This window comes from Homo sapiens, chromosome 11 (assembly GCF_000001405.40).
Source record: "Homo sapiens chromosome 11, GRCh38.p14 Primary Assembly".
Lineage (NCBI taxonomy): Eukaryota > Metazoa > Chordata > Mammalia > Primates > Hominidae > Homo > Homo sapiens.
Window position 1 is genome coordinate 65960051 of NC_000011.10, and position 21217 is coordinate 65981267.

General features: G+C 55.1%; 1 protein-coding gene across 2 annotated transcripts, besides 2 other annotated features; it reads left to right on the forward strand.

The window, feature by feature from the left end:
• Positions 1542-2329: an enhancer, noted in NCBI's record as "H3K27ac hESC enhancer chr11:65729063-65729850 (GRCh37/hg19 assembly coordinates)". NCBI's record gives its function as "activates a minimal SCP1, AML or CMV promoter by ChIP-STARR-seq in primed H9 embryonic stem cells {active_cell/tissue: H9 hESC(primed)}" and the evidence as "EXISTENCE:reporter gene assay evidence [ECO:0000049][PMID:30033119]".
• On the forward strand, positions 1684-20087 carry SART1 (spliceosome associated factor 1, recruiter of U4/U6.U5 tri-snRNP). Of its 2 annotated transcripts, NM_005146.5 has the most exons (20): positions 1684-2043; positions 4024-4081; positions 4465-4520; positions 5042-5168; positions 5292-5397; positions 5652-5729; positions 5837-5936; positions 6026-6168; positions 6300-6506; positions 7209-7333; positions 7421-7536; positions 7629-7771; positions 16345-16518; positions 16606-16716; positions 16964-17051; positions 17513-17603; positions 17714-17849; positions 18550-18639; positions 18743-18864; positions 18962-20087. In NM_005146.5, exons 1-20 carry the CDS (start codon positions 1731-1733, stop codon positions 18978-18980), a joined length of 2403 nt encoding a protein of 800 aa, NP_005137.1. In that variant the 5' UTR covers positions 1684-1730; the 3' UTR covers positions 18981-20087. The 2 variants fall into 2 exon arrangements, with proteins under 2 accessions (NP_005137.1, XP_047283812.1); XM_047427856.1 differs by lacking the exons at positions 16606-16716; positions 16964-17051; positions 17513-17603; ... (2 more) ...; positions 18743-18864; positions 18962-20087 and having other exon boundaries at positions 16329-16510.
• Positions 6051-6551: an enhancer, noted in NCBI's record as "H3K4me1 hESC enhancer chr11:65733572-65734072 (GRCh37/hg19 assembly coordinates)". NCBI's record gives its function as "activates a minimal SCP1, AML or CMV promoter by ChIP-STARR-seq in naive H9 embryonic stem cells {active_cell/tissue: H9 hESC(naive)}" and the evidence as "EXISTENCE:reporter gene assay evidence [ECO:0000049][PMID:30033119]".
• Positions 20088-21217: the final 1130 nt, after the last annotated feature.

The window sequence follows — 21217 nt, forward strand, 5'->3', positions numbered from 1 at the left end:
GCTCTGTCCCCGCACCCCCTCCCCACCAGGAGCTTTGGCTCTTTTGGTTCCCCCCACCCAGTACACACAGCCCCTTCTCTGCTCCTGAGGAGTGGGGACATCTCAAAGAGCAAGAGCTGTGACTTCTCCACCCCATCTCCAATGTATATGTTGGGTCCTATAAATTCAAGCATGAATAAGATGAAATGACTCCTGCCTCTGAGGACGCCCAGTGAGTGGGAGAGGGGGTGGATCCTTAAAGGGGCGCATACAACATAGCCTAACACATGCTGAGTTGTGCCACACAGGGAGCCACAGACTGAGCAACCACTGGGTGAGGGGAGGGGTTTCAGGAGAGATTGGGATTGTGTGCACTGCGCTTTTTTTTTTTTTTTTTAAGACAGAGTCTCGCTCTGTCACCAGGCCGGAGTGCAATGGTGTGATCTCAACTCACTGCAACCTCTGCCTCCCAGGTTCAAGCGATTCTCCTGCCTCAGCCTCCTGAGTAGCTGGGACTACAGGTGTGCGCCACCACACCCAGCTAATTTTTGTATTTTTAGTAGAGACGGGGTTTTACCATGTAGGCCAGGATGGTCTCGATCTCTTGACCTCGTGATTCGCCTGCCTTGGCCTCCCAAAGTGCTGGGATTACAGGCGTGAGCCACCGCGCCCGGCCTGCACTGGGGTTTTAAGTCCCAATAGTTTTAAGTTAGGGCTGGTCTCCTCAAGAAAAAAACTCATACACACAGATGTGCCACATTTTGCATTCAATTTCAGGGGTTCCAGGGATACACTGACGCCCATGTGGAGCTCCTAAACAATCTTAACAGTTCACGGGGCCAGGTTTTAAAAATCCAATCCAGGGCCAGGCGCAGTGGCGCATGCCTGTAATCTCAGCACTTTGGGAGGCCAAGGCGGGTGTATAGCCTGAGCTCAGGAGTTCGAGACCAGCCTGGCCAACATAGTGACCCCACCCCCTACCCCCGCTCCCCACCAACCATCTACAAAAAAATACAAAAATTAAAGGGGCGTGGTAGCGTACTCTCGTAGTCCCAGCTACTGGGAAGGCTGAGGTGGGAGGATCACTTGAGCCCAGGAGGTCGAGGCTGCAGTGCGCTGTGATCACGCCACTGCACTCCAGCCTGAGCAACAGAGTGAGATCCTATCTCAAGGGAAAAAACAAAACAAAACAAAACAGGGAACGTGGGAAGGAAGCGTTCCCTGACGATACTGGTTATAGCGGGTCTGAAGCTGGGCTGTGGAATTGGAGATCTCGGGAAAACAACACCCGTTGGAGCCACGACCCTAGGAGTCCACTAAGCGAGCGCCCATTGTAGGAGGGAGGTGTCTACGGAAAGACCGTGAGGTAGTGAACACCCCGTTGCCGGTGAAGTGCAAGCGCAGGGAGGCCGGGGAGGAACTTAAAGCCACGAAGACACTGACTTAATGGGCTCTAAGTCCTTCCAGTTCTGGGATCCCACCTCCGGGTTAATTCCGCTTCCCTTGAGGAGCGCATGCGCAATGGGACCACTCGCTCAAAGAACCCACCCGACCCGAGACGGCGCGAATGTGCAGTCGAGCGCTGATCCCGGCCTTCCCATGAGCCTCTGGGGCAGGCTCCAAGGCGAGCGACGGAAGCAGCCGCTCTTAGTTTCCGGCAACACGACAGCGGCTGCCGAGCGACCCGGAAGTATTCCCATTTTGCGTTGTCTGGGCTCGGCGGCAGCCGGGCTCGGAGTGGACGTGCCACTATGGGGTCGTCCAAGAAGCATCGCGGAGAGAAGGAGGCGGCCGGGACGACGGCGGCGGCCGGCACCGGGGGTGCCACCGAGCAGCCGCCGCGGCACCGGGAACACAAAAAACACAAGCACCGGAGTGGCGGCAGTGGCGGTAGCGGTGGCGAACGACGGAAGCGGAGCCGGGAACGTGGGGGCGAGCGCGGGAGCGGGCGGCGCGGGGCCGAAGCTGAGGCCCGGAGCAGCACGCACGGGCGGGAGCGCAGCCAGGCAGAGCCCTCCGAGCGGCGCGTGAAGCGGGAGAAGCGCGATGACGGCTACGAGGCCGGTGAGGAGGCGGGGCCTGCGCAGGGGGCGGGTCGGGCGGGGGTCCCGGAACGCGTGGGTCTGGGTGTGCGCGCAGTGTCAGCGAAGCTCTTCAGGCCAGGAAACCCCCAAGCTGTTTACCAGCTCTATTAAATAGTCTTTCTACGGGATCCCTTGAGCCCAGGAGTTAGAGGCTGCAGTGAGCTGCGGTCCCGCCAGTGTACTCCAGCCTGGGCAACAAAGCGAGACTCTGTCTCAAAAAGAAAAAAGTCTTTCTACGGTTGTTTAGGATTAGAGGTTGACTTTCTCCACTCAGCTGCTTGAGGACAGAGGGCTTCTGTTTTCCTCAGTTGTCTGGTACAATCAGATTCTCAATAAATATGTTGAATGAGTGAATGAAGTAGTGTCAGCATATACAGAGGCAAGAAAAACCTGGTATTGGACGAATCGTGTAGGGCGCATGGTAGAGAAATGAGGGAGTAAGATAGACAGGGATGTGAACACAAAGGACCCTGTACTGTAGTCTCTGTTAAGAACTGTAGATTGTCTTGAGGATAGTAGGGAGCCATGGATGTGAGTTGAGGAGTGAGTTGCTCAGATCCGTATTTTGTAAACATCACTGGATTGAGAATTTAGTCAAAGGTAGTCAGGACTGGAGACCAGGAAACCAGGAGGGCTATAGGCCAGGGGAGGGCTGATGGTGGCCTGCACCAAGGCAGCAGCAGTGGGATTGAGAGAAGTGGACAGGTTGGAGAGGTGTTTTGGAGGAGGAATGAACAGAACTCAGCACTTGTATGAGGGTGGGAAGAAGGAATGGAGGATGACTCCTTGAATTTTGGCTTGAGCAGCCAGATAGGTAGTGGGTGTCATTTCTACTGAAATTGAGGAGTAGGGAAGAGAAGCAGATTTGGAGCGGGGGTGGGGGGAGATAGTTCACTTTTGGGGTTGTCAAGGTTGATGGTAATGGGGAAATCCAGAGTTTGGACTGGATAAAGCCATTGGGAGTCAGTATCTGGGTGGCCAGTGAAGCCCCTGAAAGACTGTGACATGAGAAGAGGGGGTCAGGACTAGAACCTGAGAAATGCCCTTATGTTAGTAGTAGGCAGAGAAAGATGTTACCAAAAAAAGGAGACAGAGTAACCAAAAAGGCAGGAAAACCTTTGTGTCATGGGAACTTTGGGAAGAGAGTATTGTTAGAAGGAGGGAGCGATCAGCAGTCCCACATACCACAGGAGATCAAGCAAAACCAGAACCGAAAAGAACCCACTAGATTTAGAAACGAGGAGGCTGGTGACCTTGGGGAGCCTGGAGAGGTTGGGATCCATGGCCCAGGTGGAGAGAGAAGCCTTTAAGATAAAGGAGAAGGTAGGATGCAGGATGGGAATGCAGGAAAGGAAGAGTTTTTTTTTTGTTTTGTTTTGTTTTTTTGAGACAAAGTCTTGCTCCATTGCCCAGGCTAGAGTGCAGTGGCACGATCTCAGCTCACTGCAAGCTCTGCCTCCTGGGTTCAAGCAATTCTCCTACCTCAGCCTCCCGAGTATCTGGGATTACAGGTGCGCACCACCGTGCCTGGCTAATTTTTATATTTTTAGTAGAGACGGGGTTTCACCATCTTGGCCAGGCTGGTCTTGAACTTCTGACCTCGTGATCCATCTGCCTCGGCCTCCCAAAGTGCTGGGATTACAGGCATGACCCACCATACCCGGCCCAGACCTTGTCTGTTAAAAATGAAAGAAAAAAGTAGAGGGCAGAGTGGTGACTACAGCAGTTTGGATGTCTTGGGTCAGGAAAGGAAGGTGCACAGAAGAGGCAGGGCTCTGAGACTGGACTCGGGCAGAGGAGCTGCTGGGGAGCTTGGGTGGAAGAAGCTGCTGTTTTCTGGTGTTTCAGCAGGCCCAGGTGCTGGTGAGGGGCCCTCATTTTTGTTCCTGCAGCTGGAGCCAACGATGCTGGCTTCTTGGCCCTGTGTTCAGCTCCTGAGCCATGCTTCTTCTTGTTCCAGCTGCCAGCTCCAAAACTAGCTCAGGCGATGCCTCCTCACTCAGCATCGAGGAGACTAAGTGAGTACTGTCTCCCTTGTTTCTACTTTGTTTTTCTAAGAGAGGTGGCTCTGGGGCCAGCACGGGGGAGGCTTTCTCACATGAAAGTGTGCTAATCAGAGTTGGAAAGATTGTTTAAATCATCTTAGCCAACAGTTGACTTATAGAAGAGAAAACTAAAACCTAAGAGTAAAGTGGCATTCACTGGTTAGACGCAGACCAGGCTGGTGCCCATGTTTCCTGCTTTGGAGGCCAGGGCCCTTCCCAGTGTCCTAGGCTGCCTGGGGCAGACTTTGTGTTTGGGACCACTCACTCCCACCCTGTTTCTCCTCTTGTCTGTCTGGAAATGCACATGGCACCCTGTGTCTTTAATAGCCCCTAACACTTGTATCTCTTGTTGTCAGCAAACTCCGGGCAAAGTTGGGGCTGAAACCCTTGGAGGTTAATGCCATCAAGAAGGGTGAGTATGGGGCTGAGGATAGGGTTTGGGGGAAAGAGGCCATCTGAAGGGGTCTTTGAAGAAGGTGGGGTTAGAGGGCAGGTTCAGCACTGTTTAGTGGTCTTACACATGCATATTTGCCGGAAGGCATGAGGTCCCTCCTTGCTGGTATAATGGGGATCTGGGGCTCCGCCTGCTCTCTGAGTTGGAGCTGTGGCCGTCGCATACTCACTCTGGCTGTGAGTTGTTAGATGGACTGGAAGATGTGCACACTTGCTGCAGACTGCGCTGTGCGGGGGTGGGTTTCTTGTTTTTCTTTAAAGCACGATTTGAGGGGCTTTGGAAGCCACAGAGGGTCCTGTTGTGCTGCATGGGTTGGCCAGGAGTGTGGGGACGAAGTGGGAGCAGGGAGGTGAAGGATTGTTCCTTCCTGTCCTGACCCCTTCTGGCCCCCTGAGCTGGAAGGGGGCAGGGTGAGTGGCTCCCTCCTCTCCCCACCAGCCATGGGCGGGCATAGCCTCACGTCTGGGCCCCCCTTCCAGAGGCGGGCACCAAGGAGGAGCCCGTGACAGCTGATGTCATCAACCCTATGGCCTTGCGACAGCGAGAGGAGCTGCGGGAGAAGCTGGCGGCTGCCAAGGAGAAGCGCCTGCTGAACCAAAAGCTGGGGTGAGGGGTCCTGGCCAGGGCAGGCAAGGGAAGGGCTGGGGAGGCCACCATCCTTGGCTGCCTCTTGAGTGGGGTGGGGAGCAGGAGCTGGGCTCCTTGAGCATCACTTTTTCCCCTCTTCAGGAAGATAAAGACCCTAGGAGAGGATGACCCCTGGCTGGACGACACTGCAGCCTGGATCGAGAGGAGCCGGCAGCTGCAGAAGGAGAAGGACCTGGCAGAGAAGAGGGTGAGCACCTGGGCAGCATGGGGTGGTCGCCTAGTGCTTCTGGTGGCCTGACGGCACTGAGGCGGGGGCCAACCCCAGAGAGGTGAGACGGGGCTTGGAGAAGGGAAGGGCCGTGGTCGGTAGCATCTACTTTGGATTCTCAGCAGCTTTCCTGCAAGGCCTGCCCTTTTTGCACTCCGCTTGGTAGAGCCCTGAGTGTTTTCTGGTGATGCTGAGTGGCCTGAAGTCCTAGGTCACCCCTCCCTGTCCCGTAGGCCAAGTTACTGGAGGAGATGGACCAAGAGTTTGGTGTCAGCACTCTGGTGGAGGAGGAGTTCGGGCAGAGGCGGCAGGTGAGGCTGCAGCAGGGGTGGTACAGGGGACACTGGTGGCCTTGCTACCGGAATCCCGAGGTTGGGTGCGTGGAGGGAGGTTCCTGACTCGCCGATTCTTCCCTTAGGACCTGTACAGTGCCCGGGACCTGCAGGGCCTCACCGTGGAGCATGCCATTGATTCCTTCCGAGAAGGGGAGACAATGATTCTTACCCTCAAGGACAAAGGTAATGCGAGCTGGGTGCCCTGGGTGGGGGCACAGCCTCTGCTGAGTTGCGGACAAGTGTGAATGGCCACTGCTCTGTGCTGCCCCCAGGCGTGCTGCAGGAGGAGGAGGACGTGCTGGTGAACGTGAACCTGGTGGATAAGGAGCGGGCAGAGAAAAATGTGGAGCTGCGGAAGAAGAAGCCTGACTACCTGCCCTATGCCGAGGACGAGAGCGTGGACGACCTGGCGCAGGCACGGCCTGGGCAGGCTGGGTGGCGGGGGCTGAGGTGGAGAATGTCGGGAATGGGGGCTCTGAGGAGGTGGTGGCTCAGTGGCTTTTCAGGAGCCAGCCTGGGTCCCAACCTGTACCTCTTGCCTTGCAGCAAAAACCTCGCTCTATCCTGTCCAAGTATGACGAAGAGCTTGAAGGGGAGCGGCCACATTCCTTCCGCTTGGAGCAGGGCGGCACGGCTGATGGCCTGCGGGAGCGGGAGCTGGAGGAGATCCGGGCCAAGCTGCGGCTGCAGGCTCAGTCCCTGAGCACAGTGGGGCCCCGGCTGGCCTCCGAATACCTCACGCCTGAGGAGATGGTGAGCCCTCCCGTGCCTTATACTCGGGGTCAAGATTCTCCCTCCCTCTGGGGCTCCTGCCCTGCCCGCAGGCACTGAGAAGACAGGGCGAGTATTTGTGTTCACAAAGCGCTTGGCCTCGCGGGTGAGCACTAAATGGCAACCGGGGGAGGCACCAGGTGTGGATGGGTCAGGGCTGCTGAGCCAGATGGGCCCCAGTCTGTTTCGGCTCTGCCATGCTGCCAGCTCGTGCCTTGGATAAACCATTTAACTGTGAGCCTGGGGCACCCCATCTGGAATGGCAGTGACAGGAGCCGCCTCCTGAGGTTGCTGTGAGGATGAGTGACAGCGTGGGTGAGGGGTGACTGGAGAGGTGTGCGTGGATTCTGTCCACAGGGTGACTGTGTGAACGTGAGGTAGACAGCTGGCGCGGTAGGCGTCTTCCTCAGTGGGTAAGAGCAGGACTCTGGAGCCAGACTGCCCAGCTCTCCCACCTAGGAGCTGGGCAACCTTGGGGAAGGTACTTAACCTCCCTGTGCCCCAGTTTCCCTAGCTCACCAGTGGAATTGAGATAGTAACCACCCCACATGTTGCTCATGTGTGGGAAGCGCTCAGGACGCTGGCTAGCACAGAGGAACACCAAAGAAGTGTTCACCCTCGAGGGCTTGTGGCGACCTGCCTTTCTGTGGCCCCCGCTCCATGTCTCGCCCCTCTTCCCTTAAGGTGACCTTTAAAAAGACCAAGCGGAGGGTGAAGAAAATCCGCAAGAAGGAGAAGGAGGTAGTAGTGCGGGCAGATGACTTGCTGCCTCTCGGGGACCAGACTCAGGATGGGGACTTTGGTTCCAGGTGGGCTTGGACACGGTGGTGGGGCGAGATGGCTGGGCTGGGGTGGCCTGGGGACCGGTGCTCACCAGAGAGGCCTCCTTCCCTCAGACTGCGGGGACGGGGTCGCCGCCGAGTGTCCGAAGTGGAGGAGGAGAAGGAGCCTGTGCCTCAGCCCCTGCCGTCGGACGACACCCGAGTGGAGAACATGGACATCAGTGATGAGGGTGAGGGCCCGGCCAGGGGGTGGGAGGGGCAGGGACAGGAGCCGCGGGTTGGAGGAGATGGTCTGAGCAGGCATCCCCTGTGTTTCCCCCAGAGGAAGGTGGAGCTCCACCGCCGGGGTCCCCGCAGGTGCTGGAGGAGGACGAGGCGGAGCTGGAGCTGCAGAAGCAGCTGGAGAAGGGACGCCGGCTGCGACAGTTACAGCAGCTACAGCAGCTGCGAGACAGTGGCGAGAAGGTGAGGCTGGGCATGGGCAGGGTGACTGCGTCAGCAGTCACCTGTCCTCACGAGCACCTGTGTCATAGGCGACAGCCACATTCCTGTCTGAAGCCTCTTTTCCATTTGTTTTTTGTTTTCTGGGTTTGTTTTTTTTTTTTTTTTTTGAGACAGAGTTTCGCTCTTTCGCCCAGGCTGGAATGCAGTGGCGCAGCCTCAGCTCACTGCAACCTCCGCCTCCCAGGCTCAAGTGATTCTTATTCCTCAGCCTCCTGAGTAGCTGGGATTACAGGCGCACGCCACCAGACCCGGCTAATTTTTATATTTTTAGTAGAGACGGGGTTTCACTATGTTGGCCAGGCTGGTCTCCAACTCCTGACCTCATGATCTGCCTGCCTCTGCCTCCGAAAATGCTAAAATTACAGGTGTGTGCCACCGTGCCCAGCCCTCTATTCTGTTTAAAGTCATGTTTTGCAAAAATTTTTAGATGCCTGCTTTAGTAGGGGATCCTTTCCTTGCCTCTCTCTTCTGTGCATGTTTGTTGAATGCCTGCTGTGAGTAGTGCATTGTTCTTGGGCTGAGAAGGTCATTGGTGAACAGGATAGCCATGGGGCCCTGGGCTCATGGAGCTGGCTTTCTAGAGTGTGTGGGGGAGAGCGTGGGGAGCAGCAGTGACTGTTAATGCAGGAACGGTAATTTCTGATGGTGGTGGGAGCTGGGCACTCAGTAAACCAAGATAACGTGCCGGGGGTTGGGATCTTAGATGGGAGAGTGCAGGGAAGACCTTTCCAAGGTACTAGTTCATCTGAGACTTGAGTCACACAGAGGAGCCAGCCTTGCGGGGGGTTAGGGGTGGCAGCAGGTGGACAGGCTGGCATTTAGGCAGTAGACCAACCAGCAGGTGTCTCAGGAGAAGTGACCTTAGAGTGCCTGAGGGCCAGGGAGGCTGGAGCAGAGCAGAGAGTGAGGGGTGGCGTGAGCTGAGATGGAGAGGTAGGGGGCCAACGCAGGGGGAGCCTTGACCCCATGGTCGTCGCTGCCCCAGAGGCACAGTGGGCCGGGCACTGCTCACATGTTCTGTGTTTGTTGATTCATTCCATCCTCCCAGCAACACCCTATGAGGAAGGTTCTGTCATCTCCATCATTCCAGAGGCCACACTTTTAGCCCTACCCCACACTTCTCACCTAGGAAGAAGCCAAGAAAGCGTGTCCAGGAGAGGGAGCAAGGGAGGGAAGCTTCTGATACTACTGGGAGGCAAAGTGGGGACAGTTGCAGTGGATTCAGGACCCGGAGGACAGGGGAGTTGAAAAAGTGAGGGCTGAACCCGGGACGGAGGCCAGGCTTACTGTTGAAGGGCTGGAGAGGACGTATTTGAGGTTTAAGGGCATATGGTCTCTGTTAGGCACCTTGAATGCTGTGCTGTTATAGGGAAAACAGCCAAGACAGTCTGTAAGTGAGTGGGCGTGGCTGGGTTCCAGTAATACTTTATTTCTAAGAACAGGTGTTGGGACATAGTTTGCCCGGCTAAAAAGGAACAGAGAAATGGAGCAATAGGCTGACAGGGCTGTTTTATGACTGAAATGAACATAAGGGTTTCTAGCCCCGTGGATCTCAGCCTGCCTGCACATTAGACTCACCTAGGAGGTTGTTTTTGTTGTTGTTTTAAGAAACAAGGTCTCGCTCGGTTGCCCAGGCTGGAGTGCAGTAGTGCAATCATAGTTCACTGCAGCCTTGAACTCCTGGGCTCAAGGGATCCTCCTGCCTCAGGCTCTCAAGTAGCTGAGACTACAGGCGTGCGCCTGTGGGTCTCAGTGTGTTGCCCGGGCTGGTCTCAAATTCCTGAGCTCAAACGATCCTCTCGCCTCCACCTCCCAAAGTGCTGGGGTTACAGGCATGAGCCACCAGGCCTGGTGTAGCCTAGAAAGTTTTTGTTGTTGTTTGAGACGGAGTCTCGCTCTGTCACCAGGCTGGAGTGCAGTGGCGCGATCTCGGCTCACTGCAACCTCCATGTCCCGGGCTCAAGCAATTCTCCTGCCTCAGCCTCCTGAGTAGCTGGAACTACAGGTGCATGCCACCACGCCCAGCTGATTTTTGTATTTTTTAGAAGAAACAGGGTTTCACCGTGTTGGTCAGGCTGGTCTCAAACTCCTCACCTTGTGATCCACCCTCCTCAGCCTCCCAAAGTGCTGGAATTAGAGGCATGAACCACCACACCCGGCCACCTAGAAGGTTTTTTAAACATATGAGCCACACCCCACACACTGTGCAGGCAAAAAAGTGGAAAGCCTATCACAGTGAACACCTTTGTCCTCTAGAGTCAGTAATTATAAACATTGTTACAGTTCTTTTCTTTCTCTTCTTTTTTTCCTGACCACTGGGAGTTGCAGATATCATGACACTGCATCCTTAACGACTTCAGTAGGCATCTGGCGAAATCAGGGCCTTCTCCCGCATAGCCACACTGCCCTAACAAGCCCATAAATGCTGTAAAACAGCAGCTCGCATGCCAACATTTTCCAGTTATCCCCCAAAATGTCTTTTTAGTTTTTTGTTGTAAGCAGCATCCAATCAAGTTTCCCACCCGCAAAGGAGCCTTTTCTGACTACCGGAGATTCTAGAGTATGTGGGAGACACATTTATGACGGAAGAAGAAAAAGATCTCGGCAGGCGGTGCTGGGGCCTAGAGTGCAAGTGGAGGGTGGGCTTGAGTGAAGCCAGCTCGTGTCATCATTTATTTCAGGAGGGAAGGTGGGGAGGGCACAGCAGCTGTGGGTGACCTTGTTTAGGGGAAGTCAAGGCAGCCCATGGCCGATTGTTCTGGTGTTTTTCCAGTGAAGAGGTGGCAGAGGTGGTGGTGCAAAGAGATGGGAGATGCTGTTCTGGAGAGTGGAGAGCAGATACACCCTGGGAGAAGAGCAGGCCTGCCAGTGGCAGTGTGGATGGTGGGATTCATGAGCTGAGGAGGGGGATGGTGGAATTCATGAGCTGCTGAGGGAGGGGGATGGTGGGATTCATGAGCTGAGGAGGGGGATGGTGGGATTCATGAGCTGAGGAGGGGGATGGTGGGATTCATGAGCTGCTGAGGAGGGGGATGGTGGGATTCAGGAGCTGAGGAGGGGGATGGTGGGATTCATGAGCTGAGGAGGGGGATGGTGGGATTCATGAGCTGAGGAGGGGGATGGTGGGATTCATGAGCTGCTGAGGAGGGGGATGGTGGGATTCATGAGGTGCTGAGGAGGGGGGTGGTGGGATTCAGGAGCTGAGGAGGGGGATGGTGGGATTCATGAGCTGAGGAGGGGGATGGTGGGATTCATGAGCTGCTGAGGAGGGGGATGGGATTCATGAGCTGCTGAGGAGGGGGATGGTGGGATTCAGAAGCTGAGGAGGGGGATGGTGGGATTCATGAGCTGCTGAGGAGGGGGATGGTGGGATTCATGAGCTGAGGAGGGGGATGGTGGGATTCATGAGCTGAGGAGGGGGATGGTGGGATTCATGAGCTGCTGAGGAGGGGGATGGTGGGATTCAGGAGCTGCTGAGGAGGGGGATGGTGGGATTCATGAGCTGAGGAGGGGGATGGTGGGATTCATGAGCTGCTGAGGAGGGGGATGGTGGGATTCATGAGCTGCTGAGGAGGGGGATGGTGGGATTCATGAGCTGCTGAGGAGGGGGATGGTGGGATTCATGAGCTGAGGAGGGGGATGGTGGGATTCATGAGCTGAGGAGGGGGATGGTGGGATTCATGAGCTGAGGAGGGGGATGGTGGGATTCATGAGCTGCTGAAGAGGGGGATGGTGGGATTCAGGAGCTGCTGAGGAGGGGGATGGTGGGATTCAGGAGCTGAGGAGGGGGATGGTGGGATTAATGCCCTGAAGCAGTGGATGGTGGGATTGAGGATTGGGTTTTCTAGGGAGGAGGGACAAGGCAGTTAAGGGTTTCACAAAGGAGAGGTTCTGTTGATTTCCCCCTGAGTCTAAACTGGGTAATGAGGGACATAACAGAGAATGATGGGTGTGAGGACAGGGCCTGGAGTCGTGATGTGGTTGAAGAATTACTGGATTGAAGTTAATACAGTCAATGAGCTAGAAAGAAAGGCTGGAGAGAACAGAAAGGATCCTTGGAATTGAGGGGTTGTTTTGTTTTGTGATAGTGTCTCACTTTGTCACCCAGGCTGGGGTGCAGTGACTCTATCTCAGCTCACTGCAATTTCCACCTCCTAAAGGTGCTCTGTCCACATACAGTCATTGGGGGTTAGGGCTTCCCGATATGAATTTAGGGGTTACACAATTCCTAGATAGGACAATATATTGTCAAGATGTCCATCTCATGTAGTTCATTTCTAGGTTAAATGCAACTCCAGTAAAAATCCCAATAGGGATTATTTTGGAAGCTGGAAAATGATTCTGAAATTGGATAAAGTAGGGGCATTGTGGCAGTGTGGGATTGCATAAGGATAGACTAACAGAACAGAGAGACCAGACAGCGGGGCCCCGAGACAGAATCGTGTCCCAGTGGGAAGAGTCGCTCGTCAGTGCAGCGAGTGGGCGTGGGACAGTCAGTTATCTATTTGGGGAAAAAATGAAATTGGGTTTATACCTCACACCTTGCAGATAGATTAAGAACTTCAAAGTAAAAACTTCACATTTCGGAATCAAATTAAGGAAATTACATTTATAACTTTTTGGTAGAAAAGATTTTTTAAGTTGTCAGCATAGCCAAGGCAGGAGAATTGCTTGAGGCCAGGAATTTGAGACCAGCCTGGGGCAACACAGCAAGACCACCCCCCCTACCAACCCCATCTCTAAAAATGTTTTTTTAATTAGCTGGGCATGGTAGCATGTGTCTGAAGCCTCAGCTACGCCGGAGGCTAAGGCAGGAGGATTGCTTGAATCTAGGAGTTCGAGGTTATAGTCAGCTATGATAGACTATAGCTGACTATATCACAGATAGCTATGATAGCCTGGGTGATAGAACAAGATCCTGTCTCAAAAAAAAAAAAAAACCAAGAAACCCACAGGTTCCATGGGTGAGTTTCTTCAAGAAACCATGAAGAAAAAAGTGAACGTGTAACTACATAGAAATTGAGAACGTGGCCGGGCGCGATGGCTCACGCCTGTAATCCCAGCACTTTGGGAGGCCAAGGCGGGCGGATCACGAGGTCAGGAGATGAGACCATCCTGGTCAACACAGTGAAACCCTGTCTCTACTAAAAAAAATACAAAAAAATTAACCAGACGTGGTGGCGGGCACCTGTAGTCCCAGCTACTAGGGAGGCTGAGGCAGGAGAATGGTGTGAACCCAGGAGGCGGAGCTTGCAGTGAGCCGAGATCGCACCACTGCACTCCAGCCTGGGTGACAGAGCAAGACTCCGTCTCAAAAAAAAAGAAATTGAGAACGTAAGTTTTTTGTTTTTTGTTTTTTTACAAAACATACCATGAAGAATATAAAAAGGCAGACCAAAAAGAGAAGATATTTGCCCATATATACCACCAAGAATGGGTTGGTGTCAAGAGTATACAAACAGACAAAACAAATCAACACAACAGGAAAATAGGCGAAAGATGTAGATAAGACAGGCAGTTCACAGAAGAGAAAGCCTAACTCACCAGGAAAATACCCGGTGAATCCAGTTTCAGGAGGGATCACAGAAAGGTGAACCAAAACAGTGAGGCACCTGCCACCTGCCAACAATTCCGCAGAAAGGTCCAAGCCTGACAGTAGCGAGTAGGAGTAAAGGACATGGAGCGGCCAGAGTCCTCAGCCACGCTACTCACAGCCATGGGCAGGAGTCTAATCAGATGAGAGGGAATGTGTGCGTGCCCGGGGCCCACCCCACACCTCTCCCGAGTGTGCCCATGTGCACCAGGAGACATTGTCAGTGGGCCTGCAGCCGCAGTACTTGGGACAAAAAAAGTCCATCCTCAGTGGGCTAGAGAGCCAGATCAAGGAGCATCCAGCTCACGGGCTGTGATTCCATAGTGGAAACTGATGAGCTACAGCCGTGTGCATCAGGGTTACTCTCAGGGGCACAGATTTTTTTACAAAACAAATCACAGAAGAGTCATACAGTGTGACTCAGGTTATAGAATAATTAATACACAACAAAATAACTGTTCAGGGGCAGGTCCTTATGTGCTAAAGCCATGAAGACAAGCCGGTGAGTCATGACCATGGATGGGGAGGGGACACTCAAGTCTGGGCAGGGCATTAGTGATGCTGCCCCAGCCCCAGGGAGAGGGACATGGGTGTGTGTTTAGTTAATGTTTTAAAAACTATATCAGCCGCTGGGTGCGGTGGCTCACACCTGTAATATCAGCACTTTGGGAGGCCTAGGCAGGTGGATCACAAGATCAGGAGATTGAGACCATCCTGGCTAACATGGTGAAACCCCCTCTCTACTAAAAAAAAAAAAAAAAAAAAAAAAAATTAGCCGAGCATGGTGGTGCATGCCTGTAATCCCAGCTACTCAGGAGGCTGAGGCAGGAGAATCACTTGAACCCGAGAGGTGGAGGTTGCAGTGAGCCAAGATCGTGCCACTTCACTCCAGCCTGGCCAACAGTGAGACTCTGTCTCAAAAAAAAAAAAAAAAAAAACCATATCAGCCGGGTGTGGTGGTTCACACCTATAGTCCCAGCACTTTGGGAGGCTGAGGTGAGTGGATCACTTGAAGCTGGTTTTGGGACCAGCCTGGGCAACATGGTGAAACCCTGTCTCTACTAAAAATACAAAAATTAGCTGGTTGTGGAGGCATGCACCTGTAGTCCCAGCTACTTAGGAGGCTGAGGGAGGAGGATCACTTGAACCTGGGAGGTGGAGGTTGCAGTGAGCCTATATCGCCCCATTGCACTCCAGCATGGGTGATAGAGTGAGATGGTCTCAATAAATAAGTAGCATATGATGCATTAGATATACCTCGTTTTATGTTTACAATGTTCATTAAAAAATAAGTGTTCCTGGCCAGGCGCGGTGGCTCACGTCTGTAACCCCAACACTTTGGGAGGCCAAGGCAGGCAAATCACGAGGTCAGGAGATGGAGACCATCCAGGCTAGTACGGTGAAACCCCATCTCTACTGAAAAAAAATACAAAAAAATTAGCTGGGCGTGGTGGCGGGCGCCTGTAGTCCCAGCTACTCGGGAGGCTGAGGCAGGAGAATGCTGTGAACCCAGGAGGCGGAGCTTGCAGTGAGCTGAGATCGCGCCACTGCACTCCAGCCTGGGCGACAAAGTGAGACTCTGTCTCAAAAAGAAATAAAAATTAAAAGACAAACAAACAAACAAATGTTCCTGGATGTCCTGGAAGACTTTTTTTTTTTTTTTTTTTGGAGACAGGGTATTGCTCTGTTGCCCAGGCTTGAGTGCAGTGGCAAGATCACGGCTCACCATAGCCTCGGCCTCCAGGCTCAAGCAATCCACCCACCCCAGCCTCCCAAGTAGCTGAGACTACAGGCATACACCACCATGCCTGGTTGATCTTTGTGTTTTTTGTAGAGACTGTGCTTCACCTTATTGTCCAGGCTGGTCTCGAACTCCTGGGCTCAAGTGATCCTCCAGCCTCGGCCTCCCAAAGTGCTAGGATTATAGATGTGAGCAACCACCCGGCCCCTGGAAGAATTTTTTTTTTTTTTTTTTTTCGAGACGGGGTTTCACTCTTGCCCACTCTTTTGAGTGCAGTGGTGTGATCTTGGCAGCCTTGATCTCCCAAGCTCAAGCAGTACTCCCACCTCAGCCTCCCCAGTAGCTGGGACTATGGGCGTGTGTGACCACAATGTCTAATTTTTATGTTTTTTGTAGAGATGGGATTTGGGTATGTTGCCCAGGCTGGTCTCGATCTCCGGAACTCAAGCAGTCCACCCGCCTCAGAAGATTTTTTTAAAAAAATGAATGTAATATAAAATGAAAGAGGGGTGCAGAAGTGGACATAGTGACTCGAACCTTCACTGAGGAGTGAGGACTTTGCTGTCTGGGCTGCAGGGTTGAGGGAGAAGTTTTTTAAAGAGGGGAGATGGTAATCATTGTGTGTGGCTGGGCATCTGCGACAGGAGGGAAAGCAGAGGGTGCTGGTGCCCGTGTGGGGGTCGCTGGATTCAGTGCTGGCAGCATGAGTGAGTTCTCTTCCCATGTCACGGAACCTGCTTTCTTGGTGAAGCAGGAAGCGAGAAGCTGGGCTGTGGGAAGTCAAAAGCGTGGGCCACCTCACCACCCTGCGGGTTCTAGAAGTGCTGTCTAGAGTCCTGAAACCGGAGTTTGTCGGGGGAGGGGCAGGTGGCAGGAGGGAGCCTGGAGGAAGGAGTTTGAGGCTGAGGTAGTGTGTGAGGGGCTTTGGAGGGGGATTGGCACAGGCCTGGTCAGGAAGGCCCTGTAGGATGTTGGGTATTCATTCAAAGGGCATCCAAACCCATTGATGGGTTTGGAGCAGAAGAGTGACCCCAGTGAAAGAGGTGCAGAGTGGAGTTAGGCGGCAGATAGCAGCTGGGCCTGCATGGGCTGTGGGCGTGGCCTGTCTGGCTGCTGCCAGGGAGGACCCTTAGGTTCCTGGGTCTCAATGGCATCACCCCAGAAACTGCTGGGTTTGCCCACAGCCGCTCCCTCCCCCAGGTGGTGGAGATTGTGAAGAAGCTGGAGTCTCGCCAGCGGGGCTGGGAGGAGGATGAGGATCCCGAGCGGAAGGGGGCCATCGTGTTCAACGCCACGTCCGAGTTCTGCCGCACCTTGGGGGAGATCCCCACCTACGGGCTGGCTGGCAATCGCGAGGAGCAGGAGGAGCTCATGGTGCGTCTGGGGCGGCCCCGCCCTCTGCTTCCCTCGGCTGGGTGGGCTGGCTGGGGCCTGGGCCGACCCTGGTCTTTTGTGCCCCAGGACTTTGAACGGGATGAGGAGCGCTCAGCCAACGGTGGCTCCGAATCTGACGGGGAGGAGAACATCGGCTGGAGCACGGTGAACCTGGACGAGGAGAAGCAGCAGCAGGATGTGAGGGCCGCGCCGCTGGGGGGTGGGCGTTTGGGGGTGCTCAAGCTGGAGATGAGCACCGGGCTCGGTGTCCAGAGCCTCAGCCTCCTCATCCAGAGTGGGCTCTGCAGACCTCCCAGGGCGATCTGAGGAGTAAATGAGGAAATTAAATGTTGTGGAGGGCTGGTGCCTGGCAGGTGGTGACCAGTGGGTGGGGCTGAGAAGAGCCGGTATGGCCTGCTAACCACCCCCGCCACGTGTCCCGTAGTTCTCTGCTTCCTCCACCACCATCCTGGACGAGGAACCGATCGTGAATAGGGGGCTGGCAGCTGCCCTGCTCCTGTGTCAGAACAAAGGTAGGGAGCTCAGGGCAGCCATGACTTGGGTGGGCTTGGGTGCTGCTGCAGGTGCAGGCAGGGCCCCCTCCGGTCCCCTCTGCTGCCCCTTTCTCTCAGTCCCAATGCTGGAGCCAGCTGTCCGGCCCAGAGCCACTCCTTCCCCTCCACTGTGGCATCTGTCCGTCTGCTCTGCCTTTGAGGCTCCACACCTGCTTGGGGAAGGAGAGGGGAGTTGAAACTGTTCCAGCTGTGGCACAGAGAGCCCTGGTGTTAGGACCCCAGCTCTGCCATTTCCCTGGCCAGTGACCCTTGGCAAGGGGCTCATTTCTGCATCTTTGCTTTGCCTGTAGAACAGGCCTGATGGCTTTCCAGAGGCAAGGAAAGGGAGGTGCCCCCACAGGGCCTGCTCTGCCTTCTCAGGCGGCCCTGGAGCTGTGGCTCTCGAGGGGTTGGGAGTCTCACAACCCCTCCATCCCTAGGGCTGCTGGAGACCACAGTGCAGAAGGTGGCCCGGGTGAAGGCCCCCAACAAGTCGCTGCCCTCAGCCGTGTACTGCATCGAGGATAAGATGTGAGTGTGGTGGGGCCTGTGCAGGGCTGAGGGGCCTGTGCCAGCTTGGAGCTTCGGGACCACAGCAGGCGGCAGCTCCTCACACTAAGGCCTCCTCTGTCTCGGGCCAGGGCCATCGATGACAAGTACAGCCGGAGGGAGGAATACCGAGGCTTCACACAGGACTTCAAGGAGAAGGACGGCTACAAACCCGACGTTAAGATCGAATACGTGGATGAGACGGGCCGGAAACTCACACCCAAGGAGGTGAGCAGGGCCTTTTGCAGGCGGAGGCCCGGCCTGCCACAGGGAGGCCAAGCCCAGGGCCATGCAATGCCCCGGGCCATGCAATGCCCCAGGGTCCTGGCTCCACCAGCCTCTGGCTGGGGGCCTGGTGAATGCCACGGATGGGGAGGGGGCCCTCAGGGCTGAGGAAGGCTGTGCCTCAGTTTGTCTCTAGTGGGCACAGCAGTCTCTTTGCAAGCCTGGCAGGAGGGTCAGACAGGCACTCGGGACCTCTGCCCTCCTGTCCTCACCTGCGTGAGCCCTTCACTGGCTTTCCTGGCCCGCAGGGCCATTCCAGCGTCCAGGCCCTTCCAGCACTCTCGTAGGCCGCCCGACCGTCCTGCCCTACCACTCAGCTGCCCCCTTGCTCTCTGGGGTTTGTCTCCCTGCAGCCCCAGCCCCAGCCCCAGCGTCCAGGCCCAGCCCCTGCGTGGCAGGTCTCCAGGTTCCCCATGCTCTGCCCCCATGGCAGCGCATCCACTAGCCAAGCTGGTCTCCCGGCCTCTGCTGGGGCCCTGCAGGGTGCCAGCGTCTGTGCTCTTTTCCCATCCCCTTCCCACTGCACCCCAGGCCTGGCATTGGGGTCAATCAACACCCGCCCTGTTATTATACACCTTGTGGGCACAGGTGGCTCCGGCCCCACCCAGGGCCCTGCATCTCCTCTCATGCCCCGCGTCCCCAGGCTTTCCGGCAGCTGTCGCACCGCTTCCATGGCAAGGGCTCAGGCAAGATGAAGACAGAGCGGCGGATGAAGAAGCTGGACGAGGAGGCGGTGGGTGCCCTTGGGGATGTGGGGGGCCCTGTGCCTGCCGGGGCAGGGGTGGCTGGTGTGTGGGGCCTGCTGCAGCCCTTTCTGAGTGGCCCCGACCCCTCAGCTCCTGAAGAAGATGAGCTCCAGCGACACGCCCCTGGGCACCGTGGCCCTGCTCCAGGAGAAGCAGAAGGCTCAGAAGACCCCCTACATCGTGCTCAGCGGCAGCGGCAAGAGCATGAACGCGTGAGTGGCTCGAGGCTGGTGGGGTAGGGTGTGGTGGGGAGGGGTGGCGTGGCCTGTGCCCGCCTCTGCAGCCTCACGCCCCTGTTCTTCTCTGCAGGAACACCATCACCAAGTGACAGCGCCCTCCCGCCCCGGCCCTGCCTCAACCTTCATATTAAATAAAGCTCCCTCCTTATTTTTTCCTCCCTGGTCGTGGTACAGATTCCAGGGTTGGATCTTTGGTTGGGTGTGGCACAGAGTCTGGCTCCTGCTAGGTGAGACCTGGCCATCAAATGACACAAACAACTAAACGATGGAAGAGAGAGCGAGCCCGGGTCCTCTAAGGCTCCTTCCTTCTCCCCTGGCTGTCGGTCACACCTCTGCAGGGCCGGCTCTCTGATAGAAAGTGGAAGGCGGTTTTAGAAACTCATCACCCTGCTCTCTCCTGGCCTCGGGGGCTGCACAGGTCACTGTCCTGTAATGTCTCCCGGTCAGGGCAGCCCAGGACTGCCCAGCCTGGTGGGCTGGGGATTGGGCTTTGGGTAGGGCACAGGTGCCACCTTCTGTCCTGGCTGTCCTGTGCCACCCTGGTCTGTGTCTAGAGGAGTGAAACTCCCAGGGTTGGGCTGGGAGTATTTGGTGCACGCGGTATGGGGAGGGCTGAGCTCAGTGCCTCCTGGGAGACTTGTCCCGTGTACAGTGACCCAGAAAGATGAGATTCCTTGGCCTGAACTCTGTGATAGAGTGTGACTGAGCTGCTGGGGGACATGTGAGCCTCAAATCCATAGAAAGACAAACGGCCACCTTGGGTGCCCAGGATACTGGTGCCTGGCCCCACGTACACCCACATACTTCTCAGATGGCTCCCACATTTTAAGATTTTAAAAATGAAACCAAAAAATAAATTGAAGAAAACTGTAAACTTTAAAGAATAATCAGCTGGGCGCAGTGGCTCATGCTTGTAATCACAGCACTTTAGGAGGCTGAGGCAGGAGGACTGTTTGAGCCCAGGAGTTTGAGACCAACCTGAGTAAGGTGGCAAAACCCCATCTCTACCAAAAATACAAAGATTAGCCAGGCGTGGTGGTGAGCGCCTGTAGTCCCAGCTACTTGGGATGCTGAGGTGGGAGGATCACTTGAACCTGGGAGACACAGGCTGCAGTGGGCCCTGATTGAGCCACCACACTGCAGCCTAGGTGACAGTCAGACCCTGTCTCAAAAAAAATAAAAAAAATTTAAAATAATCTTGGGGTGAGGAAACTGTAGACAAGGTGCAAAACCCAGTAGCCTGAAAATGCATGGTTGGCATTGATGCTGTCGCTTCTGCACGGCTAGAGCTGCGGGGCTGAGTCTTAGCCTGAAAATGCACGGTTGGCACTGACACCATTACTTCTGTGCAGCGGGAGCTGCGGGGCTGAGTCTTTGGGTGCCCTTCCTTGAGCTCTGTATTCTCTATAGTTTGACATCTGACTCTTGATTCTGTTTTCACCTTGGCTGCTTCCTTGGCTTCCTCAGGAAGGGTGTCCTGGGGTGTCTAGGCTGGGACTAGGACTTGGGGCAGTCACAGTCTGTTTCTCTCAAAAGCCTAGGAGGAGGCTGGGAACAGTGGCACATGCCTGTAATCCCAGCACTCTGGGAGGCTGAGGTGGATGGATCACTTGAGGCCAGGAGTTCAAGACCAGCCTGGCCAACACGGTAAAACTCCGTCTTTGACTAAAAATACAAAAAAAAATTGACATGTAGGCTGGGTGCGGTGGCTCACGCCTGTAATCCCAGCACTTTGGGAGGCCAAGGCGGGTGGATCACGAGGTCAGGAGATCGAGACCATTCTGGCTAACACGTTGAAACCCTGTCTCTACTAAAAATACAAAAAATTAGCCGGGCGTGGTGGCGGGTGCCTGTAGTCCCAGCTATTCGGGAGGCTGAGGCAGGAGAATGGCGTGAACCTGGGAAGCGGAGCTTGCAGTGAGCTGAGATTGCGCCATTGCACTCCAGCCTGGTCGACACAGCGAGACTCCATCTCAAAAAAAAAAAACAAAAAACGGCATGATGGCAAGTGCCTGTAATCCCACCTACTCAGTAGAATCGCTGGAGCCCAGGGGGTGGAGGTTACAGTGAGCCGAGATGGTGCCACTGCACTCCAGCCTGGGTGACAGAATGAGACCCTGTTTCAAAAAAAAGGAAGCCTAGGAGGTGCTTCCAGGGTTGGGACTGGGCAGTCAGGTGTCCCTGGCATGGACCCCAGGCCCTGGCCTACTGTCCAAGTCACACCTTGACGTCTGCAGGAAATGGCCCATTAGGAGGCTGTCAAAGCTGCTGTCACAGCTGAAAATGACCGCAGCCTGGGCTAGAGCCCAGGTGGAGCCAGGGTAGA